Source organism: Homo sapiens, chromosome 4 (assembly GCF_000001405.40).
Source record: "Homo sapiens chromosome 4, GRCh38.p14 Primary Assembly".
NCBI lineage: Eukaryota > Metazoa > Chordata > Mammalia > Primates > Hominidae > Homo > Homo sapiens.
The window spans coordinates 25306937-25329994 of record NC_000004.12 but is presented as its reverse complement, the minus strand read 5'-3'; the positions used below and the strand labels follow the sequence as shown (position 1 = coordinate 25329994).

Sequence of the window (23058 nt, the reverse complement as noted above, 5' to 3'; positions counted from 1 at the left end):
TAAAAAATCAAAATCAAAAGGTCTAAACAAACCCAGAAATGACATAGGATGATATTGGTAGAGACATTAAAGCCACTCATTGTAACTGTATTCCATGTGTTCAAGAGGTGCAGGAAAGCATGAGCCTGTTAAGCAAAGACATAGAAAATATAAAAACATCCGGCCAGGTGCGGTGGCTCACGCCTGTAATCCCAGCACTTATGGGAGGCCGAGGCAGGCAGATCATGAGGTCAAGAGATCGAGACCATCCTGGCCAACATGATGAAACCCTGTCTCTACTAAAAATACAAAAATTAGCTGGGCATGGTGGCATGCGCCTATAGTCCCAGCTACTCGGGAGGCTGAGGCAGGAGAATCACTTGAACCCATGAGGCAGAGGTTGCAGTGAGCCGAGATCACGCCACTGCACTCCAGCCTGGTGACAGAGCGAGACTCTGTCTCAAAACAAAAAAAAAAAAAAAGGAAAATATAAAAAGACGAAATCTACAAAGGTTTGTTAAAATTATTAAAAAAAAAAAACAAAACACCTTACATGGGAATAACAGTAGTTCAGGGGCTAAAGCGAAAAGCTTTGTGAACTTGAAGGTACGGTCTCAGAATGATACAAAATGAAAAACTGAGGGGCCTAAATATGTGGAAATGAAGCCCTCAAAATAAAGGGGAGGGTGGATTTTGAAAGTATAATAAATGATAATTTTCAAAATTACATCAAAAGATCCAGGAAGCTCAGAGAACCACAGTACAAGAAACATGAAGGAAAACTACAAGACACATCATAATAAAATTATTTATTTATTTTCATTTTTTTGAGACAGAGTCTCATTCTGTCACCCAGGCTGCAGTACACTGGTGTGATCACAGCTCACTGCAGCCTTGACCTCCCAGACTCAAGCAGTCCTCCCACCTCAGCCTCCTCAGCAGCTACAACTACAGGTGCTTGCCACCACACCTGGCTAATTTTTGTATTTTTTGTAGAGACAGGGTTTTGCCATGCTGTCCAGGCTGATCTAAACTCCTGGGCTCAAGTGACCCACTTGCTTTGGCCTCCAAAAGTCTTGGGATTATAGGCAAGAGCCACTGCACCTGGCCAGAATGATTTAAAATCAATGATAGTCCAGATGCAGTGGGTCACACCTGTAATCCTAACACTTTGGGAGGCCAAGGTGAGAGGATCGCTTGAGCCCAGGAGTTCGAGACCAGCATGGGAAACATGGCAAGACCCTGTCTCTACAAAAAAATACAAAAATTACCCAGGTGTGGTGGCAAGTGCCTGTAGTTGCAGCTGCTCAGGAGGCTGAGGTGGGGGGACTGCTCGAGCCTGGGAGGTCAAGGCTGCAGTGAGCCATGATTGCACCACTGCACTCCAGCCTGGGTGACAGAGCAAGATCCTTTCTCTAAACAAACAAAAAAACAAGCAATGATAAAGAGAAACCAGAGGAAAAAAGATAGATTGTGGACTGGGCAAGGTGGCTCAAGCCTGTAATCCCAACACTTTGGGAGGCTGAGGTGGGCAGATCACTTGAGGTCAGGAGTTCGAGACCAGCCTGGCCAATATGGCAAAACCCCATCTCTACGAAAAATACAAAAATTAGCTGGGCATGGTGGTGGGTGCCTGTGATCCCAGCTACTCATGAGGCCAAGGTAGGAGAGTTGCTTGAACTTGGGAGACAGAGGTGGCAGTGAGCAGAGATCGTGCCACTGCACTCCAGCCTGGGAGACAGAGTGAGACTCCGTCTTGGAAAAAAAAAAGATAGATTCTGTACAGACGAACAGAGATAAAGATAAAAATGACATCAGGCTTCTCACTGAAAACAATATAAGCAAGATGACATTGGGTCAATACCAATTCTACACAAATTCTTTCAAAAAACTGAAGAGAGAACACTTACCAATTCATTTCATGAGGCCACCATTATCCCAATACCAAAACCAGGAAAAAAAATTACAAGGCAACTACAGACAAACATGCCTTATGAACACAAACTCAAAAATTATTAACAAAATTTAAGCAAATCAAAACCAGCAATATATAAAAAGCTATTACATCATGACGAAATATAGTTTATCCTAGCAAAGCAAGGTTGTTTAAAAGTTTGAATTCAATCAATGTAATTCATATTAACAGGCTTTTTTGAAAAAAAGATAATTTCATTAGGTGCCCCCCAAAAACGCACTTGACAAAATCAAACATCCACTGATGATAAAGATTCTCAGGCTGGGTATGGTGGCTCATGCCTCTAATCCCAGCACTCTAGGAAGCCTGAGGCAGGAGGACGGCTTGAGCCCAGGAGTTTGAGACCTGCCTGGGCAACACAGTAAGATCCTCATCTCTTCAAAAAGTAAAAAAATTAGCTGGGTGTGGTAGTACACACCTATAGTCCCAGCTACTGGGGAGGCTGAGGTGGGAGGATCACTTGAACCAAGGAGGTAGAGTCTACAGTGAGCCATGATCGTCCCACTGCCCTCCAATCTGGGTGACAGAGCAAGACAGAGAAAAAGAAAGAAAAGAAAGGAAGGAAGGGTGGTGGGGGACGAAGCAAGTAAGGAAGGAACGGAAGGAAGGAGGGAAGGAGGGAAGGAGGGAAGGAGGGAAGGAGGGAGGGAGGGAGGGAGGGAGATTCTCAAAAAACCAGAAATAGAAGGGCACTTCTACAATCTGATAAAGGGCATCAAAGAAAAACCTATTGCTAACACCATACAGCTGAAAGACTGAATGCATTTCCCCAAGACTGGGACAAAGCAAAGATGTCTGCTCTCAGCCTTCTACTCGACATTGACTAAGGGTTTCTAGCCAGTTTGATAAGACAAGATAAAAAAACAAAAGACATAAATTGGAAAGTAAACATTAAAACTTCTTTATTCACAGACAACATGATCACACATGTACAAAATCCTAAGGAAATCTTCAAAAAGCCTGCTAGAACTAGTAAGTAAGCTTATCAAGATTTCAAAATAAAAGATCAATATATAAAATCAACTGTATTGTTAGAGTCTAGCAATAGACAATTAGAAACTGAAATTTTAAAACAATACAATTTAAAACCACATTAAAATACATGAAATACTTCGTGATAAATCTGACAAAAGATGTGTAACTGCAGTGCACTGAAAATTACAAAACATCACCAAGAAAAATTAAAGATGACTTAGTAACTGAAGAGATACACCACAGTCACAGACTAGAAAACTCAATACTATTAAGATGTCAATTCTCCCCAAATGTATCTATAAAATCAACACACTCTCAATCAAAATCCCAGCAGGATTTTTTGTAGAAACTGAAAACCTCATTCAAAAAATTCATATGAAAATAAAAAGGACCTATAATAGCGGAAACAACTTTGAAAATAATGGACAAAGAAGACTTACACTACCCAATTTCAAGAAGACATTATAAAGTCACAGTAATCAAGACAATGTGGTATTTATGTAAAGATATACCTATAGGTCAAGGGAAAAAAATAGTCCAGAAAAAAAAACACATATAAAGTTAACTGACTTTTGAGAAAGGTGCTGCAGTAGGCTGAATGATGCCCCCTCACTCCCCACATCCTACCAAAGAGAATATGGAACCTGTGAATACACATATAGGACCAAAGAGAATTTACAGATGTCATGAAGTGACGGATCTTAAGATGAGGAGGTTATCCTGGGTCATCTGGGTAGACTCAACATAATTACAAGGGTTCTTATAAGCCAGAGGCAGTGGAGTGAGGGAGAAGATTATGTGGTGACAGAAGCAGAGACTGGAGTGATGTGCTATAAAAACGGAGCACGGGCCACAGCCAAAGATGCAGGTGGTCCCAGACGCTGGAAAAAGCAAGAAACAAATTCTCTTCTCAGAGTCTTCAGAAGGAACTAGCCCCACCAACAGCTTAACTTTAACCTGCTTTAGTTGATTTTGGATGTTGGGCCTCCATTACTGGAAGAATAAATCTATGTCGTTGTATACCACTAAGCTTGTGGTAAGTTGCTCCAGCAGCAACAGGAAAACTAATGCAGGTGCCAAATCAATTCAACAAGGAAAGGATAATATTATCAACAAATGGTGCTGGAAAAGTATTTTTTTTTCTCTCTAATCCCACAGCAGATAAGGTGCTGGAAAAGTCTGAAAGCCATATGCAAAGCAATGAACCTTGACTCTTACCTCACTTCATATAAAAAAACTAACCCCGAATAGATCATAGACCTAACTCTAGGAACTAAAACTAGAAAACTTTAAAGAAAACATATTAGAAAATAATAATGACTGGGTTTGGCAAAGATTTCTTAAATAAGACTAAGCACAAAGTGTAAGAATCAATAAAATGAACTTCGTCATGACTTAACATTTTTTTCTTCAAAAGATACTCTTAAGTGACAAAAAATAAATTGAACTTAATAAAAAATTTTAAACTTTTGCACAGCAAAGGATACCATTAAGAAAGTGAAAAGACAGCACAGTGGCTCACGCCTATAATCCCAGTACTTTGGGAGGCTGAGGCAGGCAGAGCCCTTGAAGTCAGGAGTTCGAGATCAGCCTGGCCAACATGGTGAAACACCATCTCTACTAAAAAAAAATTAGCCGGGTGTGGTGGCACACGCCTGTAATCCCAGCCACTCAGGAGGCTGAGGCACGAGAATCACTTGAACTCAGGAGACAGAGGTTGCAGTGAGCCGAGATGGCACCACTGCCAAAAAAAAAAAAAAGAGAGAGTGAAAAGACGACCCAAGAATGGCAGAAAATATTTCTTTTTTTTTTTTTTTTTTTTTTGAGACGGAGTCTCCCTGTCGCCCAGGCTGGAGTGCAGTGGCGAGATCTCGGCTCACTGCAGGCTCCGCCTCCCGGGATTCACGCCATTCTCCTGCCTCAGCCTCCCGAGTAGCTGGGACTACAGGCGCCCACTACCTCGCCCGGCTAATTTTTTGTATTTTTAGTAGAGACGGGGTTTCACTGTGTTAGCCAGGATGGTCTCGATCTCCTGACCTCGTGATCCACCCGCCTTGGCCTCCCAAAGTGCTGGGATTACAGGCGTGAGCCACCGCGCCCGGCCGAAAATATTTCAAATTATATGCCAGGTAAAGGAATTGTATCCACAATGTATAAGGAATAACTCAACAATAAAAAGACAATTAGCCCAATTCAAAAATAGCAAAGGAACTGAATAGACATTTCTCCAAAGATAATACAAAAACAGTCAATAAGCACATAAAAAGATGTTCCATGTCATAAACACAAATTAAAATCACAATACAATGTCACTTCACAATGGCTATAATTAAAAGGACAGATAATAACAAGTGTTGTAGGAGACAGGAAAAAAATCTGATTCCTCGTACGTTGCTGATAGGAATGTAAAACGGTGCAGCCACTTTGGAAAAGTTTGGCAGTTTTGGAAAAATTAAACGTATATCCACCATATGATCCAGCTACTCTATTCCTAGTATTTACCCAAGAGAAATAAAACCATGAGTCCATACAAGGACATATACATAAATGTTCATAGCAGCTTTTTTCTACAACACAGTAACTGGAGGAAACTTATATGACTACAAACAGATGAATGGAAATATCCATACAGTGGAACATTATTCGTGAATAAAGGAATGAACTGTTGACAAACACATCAACATGGATAAATATCAAAAATATTTATGCTAAATAAATGAATGCACCTGCCCTTAAAAAACAGTACATACTGGCCAGGCACAGTGGCTCATGCCTGTAATCCCAGCACTTTGGGAGGCCAAGGCAGGCAGATCATGAGGTCAGGAGATAGAGACCATCCTGGCCAACATGGTGAAACCTCATCTCCACTAAAATACAAAAAAAAAAAAAATTAGCCAGGCATGGTGTGCACCTGTAGTCCCAGCTACTTGGGAGGCTGAGGCAGGAGAATCGCTTGAACCTGGGAGGTGGAGATTGCAGTGAACTGAGATTGCACCATTGCACTCCAGCCTGGCAGCAGAGCGAGACTCTGTCTCAAAAAAAAAAAAAAAACACAAAAAACAGTACATACTGTACGATTACCTTTATATAAACTTCTAGAAAATGCCGACTAATCTATAGTGACAGAAAGCAGATCAGTGGATGTCTGGGGACCCTAGGGGTGCAGGGATATAGAATATTGGGGCAGGCAGAAACTTCTGGAGGTAATAGTATGTTCATTAACTTGACTGTGGTGATGATTTCACGGGCAGATGTATATGTCAAAATTCATCAAATGGTACATTTTAAATATGTGCAATTTATGATATGTAAAGTATCATACCTCAGTAAAGGTAAAAATGATGGGGGAAAAGTGAATTTTCCACTAATGATCCCCATATCACTAAGGTGACCACACATCCCTGGTTGCCCAGGACAGTCCCAGTTGACATCTTCCATCCTGGAGTTCTGTCTGGTTATTGCCTCCTTCCCCCTACAGTCTCAAGAAGTATCTGGGTCTGGATTTAAATTCTACAGTCACCCTACATACAACCCCCATCATATTGTGAAAATTAAATCAAATTCCAAAAGTGCTATATCATAAAGAGTAATAATCTCAAAGAACTACAAAACACCAAATTTTAAAAATACATATTTTCATAGTGATATGAAAAAAAAACACAACAGAACAATGATCCTGATTAATCAACTTTGGAAGTTGCTGCAGTACCAAATCATTTTTCTAAAAACTAGTTAAAAAGGACAGGAGGGGAAGGATGAAACATTTATCTTTTCTTTCCCACATGAACTGTAACAAAGTAAGCTAACAGTTGGTGAAACAAAGTTCTTTTTTACAGAAGAATTACAGCTAATGAATGCATAAACAATGACAAGATTCTAAAACCTTTTACAACCTCTGGGCAATGATCATCAGTTACAGCTAAAATCATTAGACAAAGGGCTGATGGGGAGCTTTGTAATGGATGGTTTATTGCCGGCTAATACCTGAACACGTGATTAATCTTAATATCACAAAAAGGAACAACCAAACATTATCTGCCTTTTGATGTGATGCAAAGAATTAGCCTTAAGAGGTGACTAGAGTTGCTACTGGGGAAGGAGAAATGCAGAGGTGGAAACAGGAGTGTTGATTATTCTTTGCAAATGCACTGTCATAGAACAACTTGATTCTACTACCATATATAGATTTTTTAAACTGAGATACAATTCAGGTACCATAAAATTCACCCTTTCAAAGTGGACAATTCAGGCCAGGTGCAGCGGTTCATGCCTGTAATCCCAGCACTTCGGGAGGCCAAGGTGGGTGGATCGCTTGAAGCCAGGAGTTCAAGACCAGCCTGACCAATATGGCAAAACCCCATCTCTACTAAAAATACAAAAATTAGCCAGGCATGGTGGCGTGCACCTGTAATTCCAGCTACTTGGGAGGCTGAGACACGAGAATCTCTTGAACCTGGGAGGCAAAGGTTATGGTGAGCCAAGATCACGATGCCACTGCACTCCACCCTGGGTGACACAGTGGGGCTCTGTCTCAAAAAAATAAAAAAAATAAAGTGTACAATTCAGTGGTTTTTAAACAGAAGTCTTTTATTAATTAAAAAAAGGTTAAATCAAAAATGATATGTGGCTATTGTATGATTCTGTTTATATGAAACATCTAGAATAGGCAAATCCATAGAGACAGAAAGTAGAATAGTGGTTGCTAGAAGCTGGGGTGGGGAGTGGGGAAATGGGAGTAACTGCTGACAGGCATGAGGTTTCCTTTTGAGGTGATGAAAATGTTCTGGAAATAGATTGTAATAGTTGTACATCTTTGTACAGTGAGCCATGATCATGCCACTGAATTCCAACCTGGGTGAGAGAGCAAGACCCTACCTCAAAAACAAACAAACAAATAAATAAAAAGAGAGCCTGTCAGCCTGCATCACAAAGCAAAATCCAACCACTCTATTTCATCATTTCTAAGGTGTATATTTTTTCACATTTTAGCATCTGCAATATGGAGATATGATTTATAATTGCCGTCAGCCAAACAGAGGCCAAGATGTAGTTCAGACCTCGTGAAAACTTGGTCCTTGCTCTTGAAGCTGTCATGTCTTCAGGCAAGTGTTGTGCATGGCTGGAACTACAGGTGGAGAGTTAATTGCCATCACCCTATGATTCATTACTGAAACATATCATGTACTTTCAGTCAGCCACCAGAACAGAGCAACAGGACATGCATTTGATATCAGAGAAGTAAATATCCCTTGGCCAGGTACTGTGGCTCACACCTGTAATCCCAGCTACCCGGGAGGCTGAGGCAGGAGGATCACTTGATTCCAGGAGTTCCAGATCAGCTTGGGCAATATATTGAGAACCCCCATCTCTAAAAATATTTTAAAACACTAGCCAGCCAGGCGCCGTGGCACACACCTGTAATCCCAGCACTTTGGGAGGCTGAGGCGGGTAGATCACTTGAGGTCAGGAGTTCAAGACCAGCCTGGCCAACATGGTGAAACCCTGTCTCTACTAAAAATACAAAAATTAGCTGGGCGTGGTGGCGGGAGCCTGTAATCCCAGCTACTTGGGAGGCTGAGGCAGGAGAGTCGCTTGAACCCCAGAAGTGGAGGTTGAAGTGAGCCAAGATCACGCCACTGCACTCCAGCCTTGGCAACAGAGGAAGACTCCATCTCAAACAAACAAACAAACAAAATTAGCCAGGAAGACCCCTTAATCCCAAAAGTTGGAGGCTACAATGAGCTATGAATGCACCACTGCACTCCTGCCTGGGCAACAGATGAAACTCTGCCTCCAAAAAAAGAAAGAAAAGAAAGGAAAGAAGAGAAAGAAAGAAAAGGAAAGGAAGAAAGAGCGGCAGCAAGAGTGAAAGAGAGAGAAAGAAAGAAAGAGACAGACAGAGAAAAGAAAGAAAAAATATACCTGGTTGAAAGAATAACAACAATAATTAAGGCCTTTAGAGGACCTAAGAAAGGAAAATCCCACAAGTAGAGGAAGTTGTATCGGGTTTTGTTACTCAAATATGGTCAAAAGGACTACCTATCACCCACTGAGTAACACTAGCTGAAGGCAGAAGTTGCAAAATCACTAGGAAGGGAAGAAAGAAAGTTCAAAGCAATGAGGGGCTGATGTGGTGATGATTCACTCACCATAAGGAGCTGAGTTTAATCATTTTTAAAAGAAGGAAAAGAACACTGCAAAATGAACCTCCACTTACATGATACATCTTTGTGCCTTGTCAATTAACTCTTTCCTTTAAATATTTCCAAACTGCCCTTCAGAAAGCTTCACTGCTAGTTTATTAACCTTTTCTTGATAAAAGATAAACTGAGATCTTGTGCATATTTCTCTCTATTCAAAATCACAACATAATCAGCAACTATTATGCCTTAAATTTAACATTCAGACACATGGCCTTCTAAAAGGTTGGTAGAGAGAACATGAGAATATGAAGCACTCAAGATTACTCAGCTTTCCCCCCTTATTCGTATTTACAACACATTCCCCAGGGGGAGAGAAATTCATTCTGCTGCATGGCTCAGCATGATTCACAAATTGCAGGCTAGCATTTTGAAATGTCATTTTTATTGATCTCCATTTGATGTTCCATTTGCCTTTCCTGGAGTACACAAATTATGTTTATGGCATTTCTCTAAGAGCAGACCTTGAAAATCTCAGTTTAAATGAGATCTGAAAAAAAATAACCAAATGAAATATCAACGAAACAAAACTATTTGGATGCACATAAATTAATGCTGATTTTAGCATTTAAATATCTTCCCTAAGTCTTCATAGGTCACAATAAGGGTGCAAACATACTATATAACAAACATAATAACACATTTCAGAGCGTAACAGGCAGCTAAAAACTATAAAAAAAAAAGCAAATCTCAGGCACAAAATGTAAATATGTCAACTGAACACATATGAAACATAAAGCATGCTTCAAAGAGTGAGATTAGAAAAATGAAAATCAAATCCTACTCTGTAAACCTAGAAATCTGTGCAGCGCTACCAATCCTATAATAAAAATCAGCTAACAGGTCAATTTATCTTGCTAGCTACCATAAGTCCTTACAAATGATTTTAAAAATAAATTAGTCAATGAAAAGCTATTGTAACTGCACAAAAACATGAAAAATTTGCTTTATAGAATATGTATAATTTTAAGAATCAGTATAAAGTTTAAATGCAGTTTAATATTTTCAAATATAATAGTTGTTTAATAAGCTAACTTATAAATGCGTTATACAAAATTAAATTATCCACATTAGAAAATAATTACACTCTCAAGCAATAGTACATCATCCTTAGGTCTACTTACACATGAGAATGAACTGCTAGTCTCAAGCTGAAGACAGACAAAGAGAATAGGTTATTTATTATGCCTTTGATTTTAAAAAGCCAAAATTATAATAGGACTCTTTATCTTAAGACACTGAATATTTTCAGAATGACTGATTTCAAACCGTTTGCTCCAGAGAAAGCATATAATAAAGCATAGGAACATTGATTACAAAGTGATACAGTGAAATCAATGATATTAAATTTCTACCCATCTTCCAAAACCTGTTCAGATGTCCTCTCCTTACCCTGTATTGATCACCTAAGCCACAAGTTACGCCCTAACGCTTCTGACTTCCAAAGCACTTAGCCTTTTCTTTCTTTTTTTTTTTTCTTTGAGACGGAGTCTCGCTCTCTCGCCCAGGCTGGAGTGCAGTGGCGCAATCTCGGCTCGCTACAAGCTCTGCCTCCCAGGTTCACGCCATTCTCCTGCCTCAGCCTCCCGAGAAGCTGGGACTACAGGCGCCCGCCACCACGCCCAGCTAATTTTATTTGTATTTTTAGTAGAGACGGGGTTTCACCATGTTAGCCAGGATGGTCTCGATCTCCTGACCTCGTGATCCACCCGCCTAGGCCTCCCAAAGTGCTGGGATTACAGGCGTGAGCCACCGCACCCGGCCAGCACTTAGCCTTTTCTATGAATACTGTAGTTACTTAACACACCTTACTTTATACTAAATTATCTTTATTTCTATATCTCAACCCCATTACTAGCATTTTAAATGCTTTTTGAGCCTTCAATAAATACCTACTGAATGAATGAATGAGTGAATGAATGACTAGGTGGACAGATGGTTGGATGGAGACTTCTGGCCACACAATCCAAGGTAATGGGTCACAGATGGTTTAAGATATTGAAAAGCATTTTATTGAGACATACTGGCAAGAATTAGCACTAGATAAAAGATGAAATTATGGCCCCCCAAAAAAAATAACCTTTTGGAAATTCTTTAATAATTCATATTTTACCCAGCTTTTGTGTTCTAATTAATATAAAATATGAATTTCAAAAAAATTTTTATCAAAAAAATATACTCTGGCACTACAAAGATAAGAACAGTGGTTTAGGCCTGGCATGGTGGCTCACGCCTGTAATCCCAGCACTTTGGGAGGTCAAGATGGGCAGACCACCGGAGGTCAGGAGTTTGACACCAGCCTGGCCAACATGGTGAAACCCCGTCTCTACTAAAAACACAAAAATTAGCTGGGCATGGTGGCAGGTGCCTGTAATCCCAGCTACTGAGAGGCTTGATAGGAGAATCACTTGAAACCAGGACGTGGAGGTGGCAGTGAGATGAGATCGCGCCACTGCCCTCTAGCCTGGGCGACAAGAGTGAAACTGTAGCTCAAAAAAAAAAAAAAAAAAAAAAAAGAGAGAGAGTGAAAAAAAAAAAAGAACAGTGGTTTAGCTCCAAACTAAAATTTTACTATGCATAAAAATAAGATCACCTAGATTTTCTTACAGAGTTTAATTAAATCACCAATATCCTTCTAACAGAAACATGCTTATCAGATAAAAGTGTTAAGGACAGAATACAAAACTATGTATACATTATGGCTACAAACAAACCTGGCATTGGAAAAAAAGCCAGAAGGAAATAATACAAAATGACCAAGGTGATGAGTTCAAAGGAAGAAACCACGGACCGTGTGGTTCTACTTTCTCCGTCTTCAATACTCTATTTTCTCTCAATAATCACTATGATAAATCTCTACATAAGTCCTTACCTTTTCTCTCCTCATGTATCCTCAAATTAAATCACTATGCATCATATATTACTATCTGCTTTTACATTTAAAAACAATCTTTTAGAATCAGGCATAAGATGAGTCACAGCTTAGTACTTCTCATAATGTGAACATGATAAAGTATAACTCCTATAAGCTTCAGTTTTCTCATTGAAGTAAACCACCTCTGCAGGACTAAATAATATCTCATGTAAAACACCTAGCACAGTGCCTACCTCACAGTAGTGCTCCATTTTCTTTTCTTTCTTTTTTTTTTTTTTTTTTTTTTGTGACAGCGTCTCACTCTGTCACCTGGGCTGGAGTGTAGTCGCACGATCTTGGCTCACCTCTGCCTCCCAGGTTCAAGCGATTCTCCTGTGTCAGCCTCCCAAGTAACTGGGATTATAGGCGCTGCCACTACGCCTGGCTAATTTTTGTAATTTTAGTGGAGATGGGATTTCACCATGTTGGCCAGGCTGGTCTCGAACTCCTGACCTCAAGTGATCCACCCACCTCGGCCTCCCAAAGTGCTGGAATTACAGGTATGAGCCACCATGCCTGGCCTCAATTTTCTTTAATTCCCTTTTCAAGATGTTTTGGGTGATGACTGAATTCCCACACAGTGAATACATAGACATCTCTGACTAACCACTGTAGTTAAGGGACAATCAAATTATCCTGAGAAATGCCTCCTGTATCAAATGACTTTAAAATCTACTACTAAACAGCTCAGGAAAAATATTATAAATACACCCCAGTACTCCTCTGTGCTTAGTCTAAATGAGGCCTCACAATCTTTCTGAACACAGCAGCCCAGGTAAAATGAAGGAGCTGCCATAAAAGTAAAAACCTATTTGTCATCAGTAACCTAGACAAGAGGCTTTTTAAGGAGCTTCTCCCAGCACATACTGTACAATGTCAGTGACACAGGTAAGAGATAAATTCTTTTCACAAGTTTGTCAAAAAATTACATCTATGACTCAACTCTAATCCACCCAATAAAACATTTCAACAATGCAGATTTTTAAAAATAGATGTTTAGAGATTTTTAAAGTTTGGTTTAGTATTTCAAAAAAGAAACATCACAGCAAATCTTCATAACAATGGATTTGATAATGGGTTCTGATCTATACACCGAAAGCACAAGCAACAACAAAAAAAATTGATAAATTGAACTTCATCAAAATTAAAACTCTTGTGTTTCAAAGGACATCAAGAAAGTCAAAAGACAACCTACAGAATAGGAGAAAATATTTGCAAATCATATATTTGGCAAAGTTGTAATATCCAGAACATATAAAGAACTCCTGTGACTCAACAACAAAAAGATAACCCAATTAAAAATAGATAAAGGACTCAGACATTTTTCCAAAGATCATACATAAATAGCCAGTAAGCACATGAAATGATGATTCACATCATTAGTAATTTGATAAAAAACAAAAATCAAAGCTGCAATGACATACCACTTCACAATTACTAGGATGGTTGTAATCAGAAAAACAAGAAATAATAGGTGTTGGCAAGGATGCGGAGAAATTGGAATGCATATACACTCCTAGTGGGAATGTAAAATGGTGCAGCCACTATGGAAAACAGTTTGGCGGTTCCTCAAAAAATTAAACACAGAATTACTGACAATTCCACATCTAGGTATATACCCAAAAGAATTGAAGACAGGGTCTCAAACTAATATTTGTATATCAATGTTCACTGTAGCATCATTCACAACAGCAAAAAAGTAGACACAGCCCAAGTGTCCATCAACAGATGAACAGATTTTTAAACTGTGGTATAGACAGACAACGGATATTATTCAGTTGTAAAAAGGAATACAGTTCTGATACATGCTACCACATGCATGAACCTTGAAGACATTATGCTAAGTAAAATAAGCCAGACCCAAAAGGACAAATATTGTATAGTCTCACTTGTATGAGGTACACAGAATTGTCAAATTCATAGCAACAAAAATAGTCGGGCACAATGGCTCATGCCTGTAACCTTCACAGTTTGGGAGGCTGAGGTGGGCGGATCCCTTGAGCCCAGTAGTTCTAGACCAGGAGTTCTGGGCAACATAGCAAGACCTTATCTCTATAAAAAATAATAATAAATTAGCTGGGTGTGGTGGCGTGTGCCTGAAGTCCCAGCTACTCATGAGGCTGAGGTGGAGGACTGGTTGAGCCCAGGAGGTTGAGGCTATAGTGAGTCGTGACAGCACCACTGCACTTCAGCCTGGGCAACACAGAGTGAGACCCTGTCTCAAAAAAAAAAAAAAAAACACACAAAAATAAATCAGAGGTTACTAGGGTTTGGGAGGAGGTAGAATGAGGAGTTACAGCATAATGGTGGCAGTTTCTGTTTGGAGTGATGAAAAAGTTTTGCGAATAGGGGCAATGGTTACACAACAACATGAATGTACTTAATGTCACTGAATTGCACACTTGAAAATGATTAAAATGGCAAATTTTATATTATATATGTAACTACAATAAAAATAAATAAATGAAAGTAAACTTAAAGGCACAGAAAAAGGCAATAACAAAAAAAATGACAGCTAAACTAATAAAGAAAAATGACACTGCATCAGTACCTTTCCACACACTGCGTTCGGGACAGGGGAGGCTGACATCTTCGGTTATGAGCTTCTCGGGCAGCAAGTCTAGCTCCTGACAACTGAAAGAGAGTACAAAACCCATTGAATAAACTGTGAAATATCTATCATCCTAGAAGAACTGGCATCACATTCTGACATCAAGAAGTCAGAAATTCAACCAACTCAACAGGCATTCATTTCAGGAGAAAACAAAACAGCGAAAACTGGGAAAATTCTAGAGCAGCTTGAAGCAATATCCAGCATATTAAAGCACTGAGAGATTAACATATGTTCACTGTAGCATCATCCACAATAGCAAAAAGGTGGACACAAACCAAGTATTCACCTTAATGGGTCTGCAGAAGAGTGGTATATAATACTGTTTTACCATAAACCTAACAAAACTGAAAATTCTCTGGTCAAAGTTTTCAGAAACTTCAACTGGAGCCGAGTTCAAGAGGATACCAAGCTCATGACTATATCTCTAAGTGCCTTCATTGGTCATCTAATAGCTGTATAAGGGATGTTCAATGCAAATGTTCAAAAAAAGTGTTTTTTAACACTTTCTGGAATGATCATGATTTCTCTTTAGTGAGCAATCTGTATCTGCCAACGGTGCTATCGACTGAATGTTTGTGCCCCCTAAAATTCGTATGTTGAAGCCTTAACCCCAATGTGATGGTATTTAAATGAGGCGCCTTTGAGAGGTAATTACGTCAAGAGGGTAGAGCCCTCAGGAATGAGATTAGTGTCCTTCTAAGACAGACAGTGCTTGCTTCCTCTCTCTGGGAAATGAGGATATAAAGAAAGGATGACCCTCTGCAAATCAGGAAGAGGACAGGACCTACACCAGACACTAGATCTGCCAGCATCTTGATCCTGGACTTCCCAGTCTCCAGAACTGTAAGAAACAGATGTCTGTCGTTTAAGCCACACAGCCTATGGTACTTCTGTTACAGAAGCCCAAGCTAACACACAGAAGATCAGCCCCACCCAATATTACCACCTCAGAGAGTCTTATGGGGAAATAAGACTTTGAGACAGTAGTTTAAGATATCAGTAATCAGAGTAAACATGAACTCATTTTCTGAACCAACAAACATAGTATCTCCATCTCTCTTAAGAGATTTATCTTGTATGTTCAGACCGCATATTTTTATTGGTTTACACGTTCTCAACAAAATTGTCACACATACCAAAAATAAAAAATAAATATCCAAAAAGTTGATATACCTTTTCATCTTCCCACTGAAAAAAATTACAGTCTTTTCTATCTCTACAGGCTGAACAGGCATAAAACCTCCGAGTTTCTTCTTTCCCTTGGGTCACCTTTACAAACAGAAGAGTGGGTCCTAGTTCCAGAATAGAAAAAAAAAAAAAAAGTGTCAAGTAATGGTCATCTACGTCAAGTTCTTAGTTTTCGCTGCCCTTAAATAAAATTTGTTTGAGCTTTAGGCACAATTTATCATAATTAAATCCATCTCTTTGGTTGGTTGTTTTTTGTTTTGTTAGGGTTTTTTGTTTTGTTTTCTTGAGACAGGGTCTCCCTCTGTCGCCCAGGCTGAAGCGCACTGGCACAATCATGGCTCACTGAGATCCTGCTTCCTAGCCTCAAGCGATTCTCCCGCCTCAGCATCCCGAGTAGCTGGGACTACAGTTGCGTGTCCCCAGCTGTTTTTCTTTTTTTGTAGACGGAGTGTCATCATTTTTGCCCGGGCTAGTCTCAAACTCCTGGGCTCAAGCGATCAGCCCGCCTCGGCCCCCCAAGTGCTGGAACTACAGGTGCACGCCACCACGCCGGCTTCTCTGTGTTTAATGAATGTTTCTTTTCTCTCTGTTACAACATTCCGGCAGTGACTACTTATAAATAATTTTTGAAAACCGGTCTCTTCAGAAAGAAAATGCTATTGTCGGTACAGTTGCTGTCTACGTTGTGAATATTACAAACCTGAGACTAAAACAAGGAAGGGACTCAGAGAATTGAGGACTTTGACATCTCTTGCGCGGTTACCCTTGCAGTGAAAACCTGAGCTTTGAGCTGGAAACGCCCACTTTCTGTAAGTTAGAGAAAAACTGAGTCTAGTTCGCAGGCAAGAATTACACTGTTTTTCTCCCTAATTTTTTATTTTTGAAGGGAGAGCAAATCAACAAATGAAATCCCCAAGTACTTGTCAACGAGAACTATTCAATACCATGCATTCTTCTCTTTGCCTACTTTTCTGCCCCTTCCCCCCAAAAGAGATGAAATAGTCCTGGAGCCAAAACCACAAGAGTGGAGACTTGCTCTGAATGTTTCTCAAGTAAGTTGAAAAACACCGCGTTCCGAGGAAGGAGTATTTTCTAGGCAGCACACTGGTGAGGGAAAGAGGCGGGTAAAAATACAGGAGCCCCAAAAGCCACTTCCAAGCCAACTCACACCCTCAGCGCCCGGCAGTTAGGCTGAGCCCAGACTCTGACCCACCGTGAGGGCACAGCGGGGCGGGGACGGCAGGATCCAAAGGAAGCACCACCTCCATTCCCGAGCTTCCCCGGCACCCTGCGCTGCCCTCTGCCTCCACGGCTTCAAACCCATTCCTGGAGGCCGCCATCTTCCCGCCGCCGTCCCGAAAGCCTCAGTACGAAACAAGAATGCTGAGAAAGAGCGCCCCCGCGACCCAAAGCGACCCACAGCGCCCCCAGGCGCTTAGGAGGAGCTTGGGCGGGGGCTGCCGCGGCGGAGGCCACGCCCCGAAACGCAGTCCCCGCCCACCTGGGGGCTGCACCTAAGCGGCCCCTAGCGGTGGGGCTCGCAGGTCACTTGCGGGACCTGTGCCATGAGCTCAGCGCATGAAGCACCCTCCTTTCTTAAGAATATAGCCAGGAAGTGAGATGATTCGAACAAAGACTTGGTTGTATTGTAGGTCCAAAAGGCAGCATTACCACCTCTGCCAAATAGCTGAAATGGCTGCAGCAGCTGTGATTTAAGGATCATTCTTTGTTTTTCAAAGTCACAGTCACTGCATCATCCTCTGTAACTTTTGGACAATGCTGAAAGTTGCACATCATAGTTGCATACTCATTGACATTTATACATAAGAAAGAAAGAAAACCGTCCTGATTTGCAGATGACATGATTGTCCACATTTTAAAAATCCGAAAGAATCTATCAGGAAAACACCTCCGGTTTAAACTGAGTTCAGCAAGGTTGCAGGATATGAGATAAACACACAAACATCAACTGGATTTCTAAATACTAGCAATGATCACAAGAACACTAAAAAATAGAATACCACTTACAATCACTCAAATAAATGAAATAGGTGTAAATCTAACGAAATATGTACAGAGCTTTATGTATGCTAAAAACTCCAAAATGCTTGATTAAAAAAAATCAAGGCTGAGTGCAGTGGCTCACACCTGTAATCCCAGCACTTTGGGGGGCCAAGGAGGGAGGATTGCTTGAATCCAGGAGTTCGAAACCAGCCCGGGCAACAAAGCGAGACGACATCTCTAAAATAAATAAGCAATTTTTAAAGTTTTTTAAAAATCAAAGAATAGCCGGGCACGGTGGCTCACGCCTATAATCCCAGAATTTTGGGAGGCCAAGGCAGGTGGATCACAAGGTCAGGAGATCGAGACCATCCTGGCTAACACCGTGAAACCCCGTCTCTACTAAAAATACTAAAAATACAAAAACAAAAAAATTAGCCAGGCGTGGTGGCGGGCACCTGTAGTCCCAGCTACTCGGGAGGCTGAGGCAGGAGAATGGCGTGAACCCGGAAGGCGGAGCTTGCAGTGAGCCGAGATTGTGCCACTGCACTCCAGCCTGGGTGACAGAGTGAGACTCCGTCTTAAAAAAAAAAAAAAAAAATCAAAGAATAAACAAATGCAGAAACATACTGCATTCATAAATCAGAAGACTCAACATAGTAAAGATATCAGTTCTCCCCAGGTTTAATGCTTATACAGGTGTAGCACAATTGCTATGAAAATCCCAGCCAGATTCTTTTTGTACATTTAGACAATATTCTGAAATTTATATGGAAAGGCAAGGGAACTAAAATAGCTAAAACAATTTTGGAAAAAGAATAATGAAGTGGGAGGAATCAGCCTACTCAATTTCAAGTCTTATAGTGCAGTAATCAAGACGCAGCCACATGTCTATGGTTGTAGACGAAATAGTCTCTTATGTTATTTAAAGAACCATTGGGGCATGTGCCTAGTTAACTTCACACATTGAGTGCTATGGTTTATTACTGTAAAAACATGGCTGTTTTTCTTTCACATTTCATGTAATGGTTTTACTCAAATTCTCCATCTGCACCAGTAGCATCTGTATCTTTGATGTACCAGTGTCCCCTTTTTCAAGTTGTCCAGAACACTTTTTCAGTGTATATTATCTGCACATGTCTGGTCTTTTGAGATAGGAAACTTTCTACAGCTATGATGATGATACTCTCGGACACTATCTCAAGACCTAACTAGCTGGGCACACATTCTCAGGACCCCTTGAGACAGTGCCCTAGGCAGAATAAAAACTAAAAGACCTAACTACCTACTCACATGAACTCTAGCACTTTTATTTACAAATTTGTTTTAGATGTACAAATTTGTGATCTTAAAAGACTTGTTTATAAAATTTGCAAGTGAATTTGTAACTCGTAAAACCAGAGTTACTGAGTCTGTATTTCCTCTTTCTCTTTTAAATAATGCTGATTCTGTGAGGCAACCTCTCTAAGCAGCCAAAACCAGTACAGATGTGCAGCCTTTACAGATAAGCTTCCCCAAACAGTAAAAACACAACAAAGATTGATCCAAATAAGGTAAATGGGAGGGCACTGCAAAATGTGAGAGCTGCTGAAGGTTTCAAACATCAGGCCATTTTGTTTGCAGAGGGATAATTTTGGGGAGAAAAAAAACTCACCTTATTTTCAGATATATATATGGTAAATAGCCTGTGTTAAATATTTACTGATGGGATTATGAATATGACCAATAAGTTATACATGTTTCATTTAATTTCCTGATAGTGTCTTTAGTCTGCACAGGAAAATGCTTGAGTAGAAACATACTGAGAGATTCAGCAAGGTTCTGAAAGGAAGCCAGAGACAGAACTGAAAATAGGTCCCTTGAGGCCTAAGCACCAGGAGAGACCTAGATTACACTTATTGTCAGGCCTCTGAGCCCAGGCTAAGCCATCATATCCCCTACGCCCTGCACGTATACATCCAGATCGCCTGAAGCAACTGAAGATCCACAAAAGTGAAAATAGCCTTAACTGATGACATTCCACCATTGTGATGTGTTTCTGCCCCACCCTAACTGATCAATGTACTTTGTAATCTCCCCCACCCTTAAGAAGGTTCTTTGTAATTCTCCCCACCCTTGAGAAGGTACTTTGTGAGATCCACCCCCTGCCCGCAACACAGTGCTCCTAACTCCACCTCCTATCCCAAAACGTATAAGAACTAATAATAATCCACCACCCTTGGCTGACTCTCTTTTCGGACTCAGCCCGCCTGCACCCAGGTGAAATAAACAGCCTTGTTGTTCACATAAAGCCTGTTTGGTGATCTCTTCACATGGATGCATGAGACACTTATCACACAGAGCGTGGTCCCAGGCTGCTAAGATTGCTGGAACTCAGCTACTCTCCCAGCCGATTGTCTGGTCAAACTGGTGAGCTTTCTTTCTTTCTTTTTTTTAATTTTTTTTGAAACAGAGTCTCACTCTGTCGCCTAGTCTGGAGTGCAGTGGAGCAGTATTGGCTCACTGCAACCGCCACCTCCCAGGTTCAGGCAGTTCTCCTGCCTCAGCCTCCCAAGTAGCTGGGATTACAGGCACATGCCACCATGCCCAGTTAATTTTTTTTTTTTTTTTTTAGTGGAGATGGGCTTTTACCATGCTGGCCAGGCTGGTCTCGAACTCCTGACCTCGTGATCCACCCGCCTCGGCCTCCCAAAGTGCTGGGATTACAGGCGTGAGCCACCGCGCCTGGGCCAAACTGGTGAGCTTTCTCAGAGGGCTGGTTTGTCTCCTTCCTTGGCTTCATTAATGGAACAAATCAGTGTCTTTTGAAAACCTTCAATTCCCAAACCTCCTTCAGAGAAAATGGCTGAAGCCAGAGGAGAGTTCTGTAGTGGAGATCTGACCATCTTCTCTATCTTCTGGTAACAGGACCCCAGTTTTCCTTTGGGAAGCCAACCCTCCCGATTTTAGCCCATGTAGTGTGAGAAGTATAAAAAATGGCAGGGACTGGCTTGGATTTGGGCAGGTGGCTTGCAGCTTCTGCTGGGATGGCTGAGAAAGAAGGTGTCATGGTTACATGTTTTAATCTCAGTGGCATTCAAGATGTTGATTCCTCATGTGTCCGAGGGGTTCAGCTCTCCAGTGTTGCCTGGGCTGAGTCACACGTCTAGTGGTTGGCTCATCCGGGATCATCTTAACCCATTTATGCCTGAAGTTGCAATTTTTTGAATTTTTGCAATCAGACCTTGGCGGTGACCTTGAGCATTAGGATATAAATAACTCCCACATGCTTAGCATTCCAATAATGGAACACTAGGCATAAATGCGTTGGGGCCGGGATAACTCAGCTGTGCTCTGTGTGTCTCTCCTTCTCCTGGAACCACCAGGACAGCCTGGGGATGGCAGACGCACAAGAGAACTAGTAGAAGCAGACAAGTTCCGCGAGGCCTGGGCTTGGAATTACACCACTCTCACTTCCATCTCATTGCTTTGGCTCAAGTAAGTCACATGGACCAAGCATTGCAAAGTTACATGGCAAAGAATGTGATCAGGAAATGGTGAAGAATTGGGGTCCATGACACAATTGATTGCATAAGTCTTCTTCACCAGGGCAACCAAGGAGCCAGTGGCAATGCTTCCCACCCCTTGAGGAGCACCTGCCTTAGAAGGAACCCAATAAGAAAAAAGCAGAACCGGGAGACAGGAAGGTGTGAGGACACCATGTGAGCACCCAGATTCAGCCATGCCTGAAGTTTTCAGTTACACGAGTCATAAATTCCTCAGTGGCTCTTTAAGCCAGTTTGAGATGGGGTTGGTTCTATCACTCATAATCAAGAATGCTGATTAATGCCCTATGGCTGCAGCCATAATATTGGATGGATGTATCTGTCCTTGAAGTCCTTTCCCAATCAAGATCAGCTCACTCTGACCTTCCTTGTCCCTGCCACACTCCCTGTAGACCTGCCTGCTTTCCTCCCTCCATCTTTCCTCCCTCCATCCTCTCCGGCCTTTGTGGAGGAACCTGGTCTTCTTGCTGCCTTTCGTCTTGCTGCCCCAAAGTAAGCATTCACAACTGTTTTTTTTTTTGTTGTTGTTGTTCTGTTTTAAGGGGAAAGCAATCAGGGAAGACCAGCAACAAGAATAAAACCTGCAGAGACCCTGCCCCGGCAGCCTCTGCCTTCCAGTTCTGGATCCCGGCACCCCTGCTGAGATGGTCCCGCAACCCCCTTGACTTCCTCTCTCTAATTTCTGAGAGTAAAGCTCACCAAACCTTCTCCCAGCCCTGAAAAGTCTCAACTGTGAAAACTTGGCTGGGAAAGGACTTGGATACAAAGGGACTCTGTGTAGCCTTCCTTGGATCTTTGAAAAACAGCGACAACACTGCTGAACCAAACACCCTGAAACTAAGGACGCTTTCTGATAAGCTATTGAGATTCACTGGTCATTTCTGCTGTGCTGGACAGGAGCCCCGATGGAACGGGCCTTTCAGAAGCCAATAAAGACCCGTGGCATGGAACTCCTGGGACTTCCTCCATCCACATCTTAAGGAGCTGCCCTGTCCCCTGTCTTCCTGCCTGAATATGATGCCTCTCTGGCGTGAAAGCTGAGAATGAAGTGCAGGAGAGAACGTGTGTGTGTGTGTGTGTGTGTGTGTGTGTGTGTGTGTGTGTGTGTGTATACGTGACTGCTTCTTATAAACGCATAGAAATGAAACCTCAAGATAAATACATCTGGCTGGTACGATGGCTCGCGCCTGTAATCCCAGCGCTTTGGGAGGCCGAGGCAGGCAGATCACTTGAGGTCAGGAGTCTGAGGCCAGCCTGGCCAACATGATGAAATCTTATCTCTACTAAAAATATAAAACTTAGCTGGGCATGGTGGCAGGCCCCCTGTAATCCCAGCTACTTGGAGGCTGAAGCAGGAGAATTGCTTGAGCCAGGGAGGCAGAGGTTGCAGTGAGCCAAGATCACACCACTGCACTCCAGCCTGGGCAACAGAGCAAGACTCCGTCTCAAAAAAGAAAAAAGAAAAATAAATCTGCTGAAAAGTAGAATGCCATGTGTAGTGGGTTGTTCCCTAAACGTTCATGTTCACTCAGAACATCATATATGACCTTACTTGGCAGTAGGCTGTTTGCAGAAATAATCAGTTAATGCTTGAGATGAGATCACACTGGATTAGGGTGAATTCTACATCCAATGACTGGTGTCCTTATAAAAAAGAGGAAAGGACA

The 23058-nt window shown here is 41.5% G+C and overlaps 1 protein-coding gene and 1 long non-coding RNA gene across 6 annotated transcripts in view, besides 7 other annotated features; both read right to left on the bottom strand.

Moving 5' to 3' along the window:
• Positions 1-17221, bottom strand: part of ZCCHC4 (zinc finger CCHC-type containing 4) — a 57610-nt gene extending 40389 nt beyond the window's left edge. For all 5 annotated transcript variants that reach the window (XR_925324.4, XM_011513835.3, NM_024936.3 and 2 more), the window contains exons 1-3: positions 17059-17221; positions 15831-15949; positions 14595-14677 (exon numbers count right to left, since the gene is read on the bottom strand). Coding sequence is in view for 4 of the 5 variants with exons in the window: in XM_011513835.3 (XP_011512137.1) it covers positions 14595-14677; positions 15831-15949; positions 17059-17185 (329 nt within the window). In the remaining variant the exon portion in view is untranslated. The remainder of the gene's footprint in view (positions 1-14594; positions 14678-15830; positions 15950-17058) is intronic.
• Positions 9086-9135: an enhancer, noted in NCBI's record as "active region_21376". NCBI's record gives its function as "activates an Ori minimal core promoter by ATAC-STARR-seq in GM12878 lymphoblastoid cells {active_cell/tissue: GM12878}" and the evidence as "EXISTENCE:reporter gene assay evidence [ECO:0000049][PMID:35858748]".
• LOC124900686 (uncharacterized) lies at positions 9498-10656 on the bottom strand. Its single transcript, XR_007058089.1, has 2 exons — positions 10254-10656; positions 9498-9619 (listed from the first exon to the last, which is right to left on the bottom strand). It is a non-coding gene; the product is annotated as an uncharacterized LOC124900686 (long non-coding RNA).
• Positions 16691-17567: an enhancer, noted in NCBI's record as "H3K27ac-H3K4me1 hESC enhancer chr4:25314050-25314926 (GRCh37/hg19 assembly coordinates)". NCBI's record gives its function as "activates a minimal SCP1, AML or CMV promoter by ChIP-STARR-seq in primed H9 embryonic stem cells {active_cell/tissue: H9 hESC(primed)}" and the evidence as "EXISTENCE:reporter gene assay evidence [ECO:0000049][PMID:30033119]".
• Positions 17103-17162: an enhancer, noted in NCBI's record as "active region_21375". NCBI's record gives its function as "activates an Ori minimal core promoter by ATAC-STARR-seq in GM12878 lymphoblastoid cells {active_cell/tissue: GM12878}" and the evidence as "EXISTENCE:reporter gene assay evidence [ECO:0000049][PMID:35858748]".
• Positions 17161-17365: a silencer, noted in NCBI's record as "fragment chr4:25314252-25314456 (GRCh37/hg19 assembly coordinates)". NCBI's record gives its function as "represses an EF-1alpha promoter that drives an FKBP-Casp9 reporter gene in an ReSE screen in K562 erythroleukemia cells {active_cell/tissue: K562}" and the evidence as "EXISTENCE:reporter gene assay evidence [ECO:0000049][PMID:32094911]".
• Positions 17373-17442: a silencer, noted in NCBI's record as "silent region_15323". NCBI's record gives its function as "represses an Ori minimal core promoter by ATAC-STARR-seq in GM12878 lymphoblastoid cells {active_cell/tissue: GM12878}" and the evidence as "EXISTENCE:reporter gene assay evidence [ECO:0000049][PMID:35858748]".
• Positions 19155-19294: an enhancer, noted in NCBI's record as "active region_21374". NCBI's record gives its function as "activates an Ori minimal core promoter by ATAC-STARR-seq in GM12878 lymphoblastoid cells {active_cell/tissue: GM12878}" and the evidence as "EXISTENCE:reporter gene assay evidence [ECO:0000049][PMID:35858748]".
• Positions 19915-19974: an enhancer, noted in NCBI's record as "active region_21373". NCBI's record gives its function as "activates an Ori minimal core promoter by ATAC-STARR-seq in GM12878 lymphoblastoid cells {active_cell/tissue: GM12878}" and the evidence as "EXISTENCE:reporter gene assay evidence [ECO:0000049][PMID:35858748]".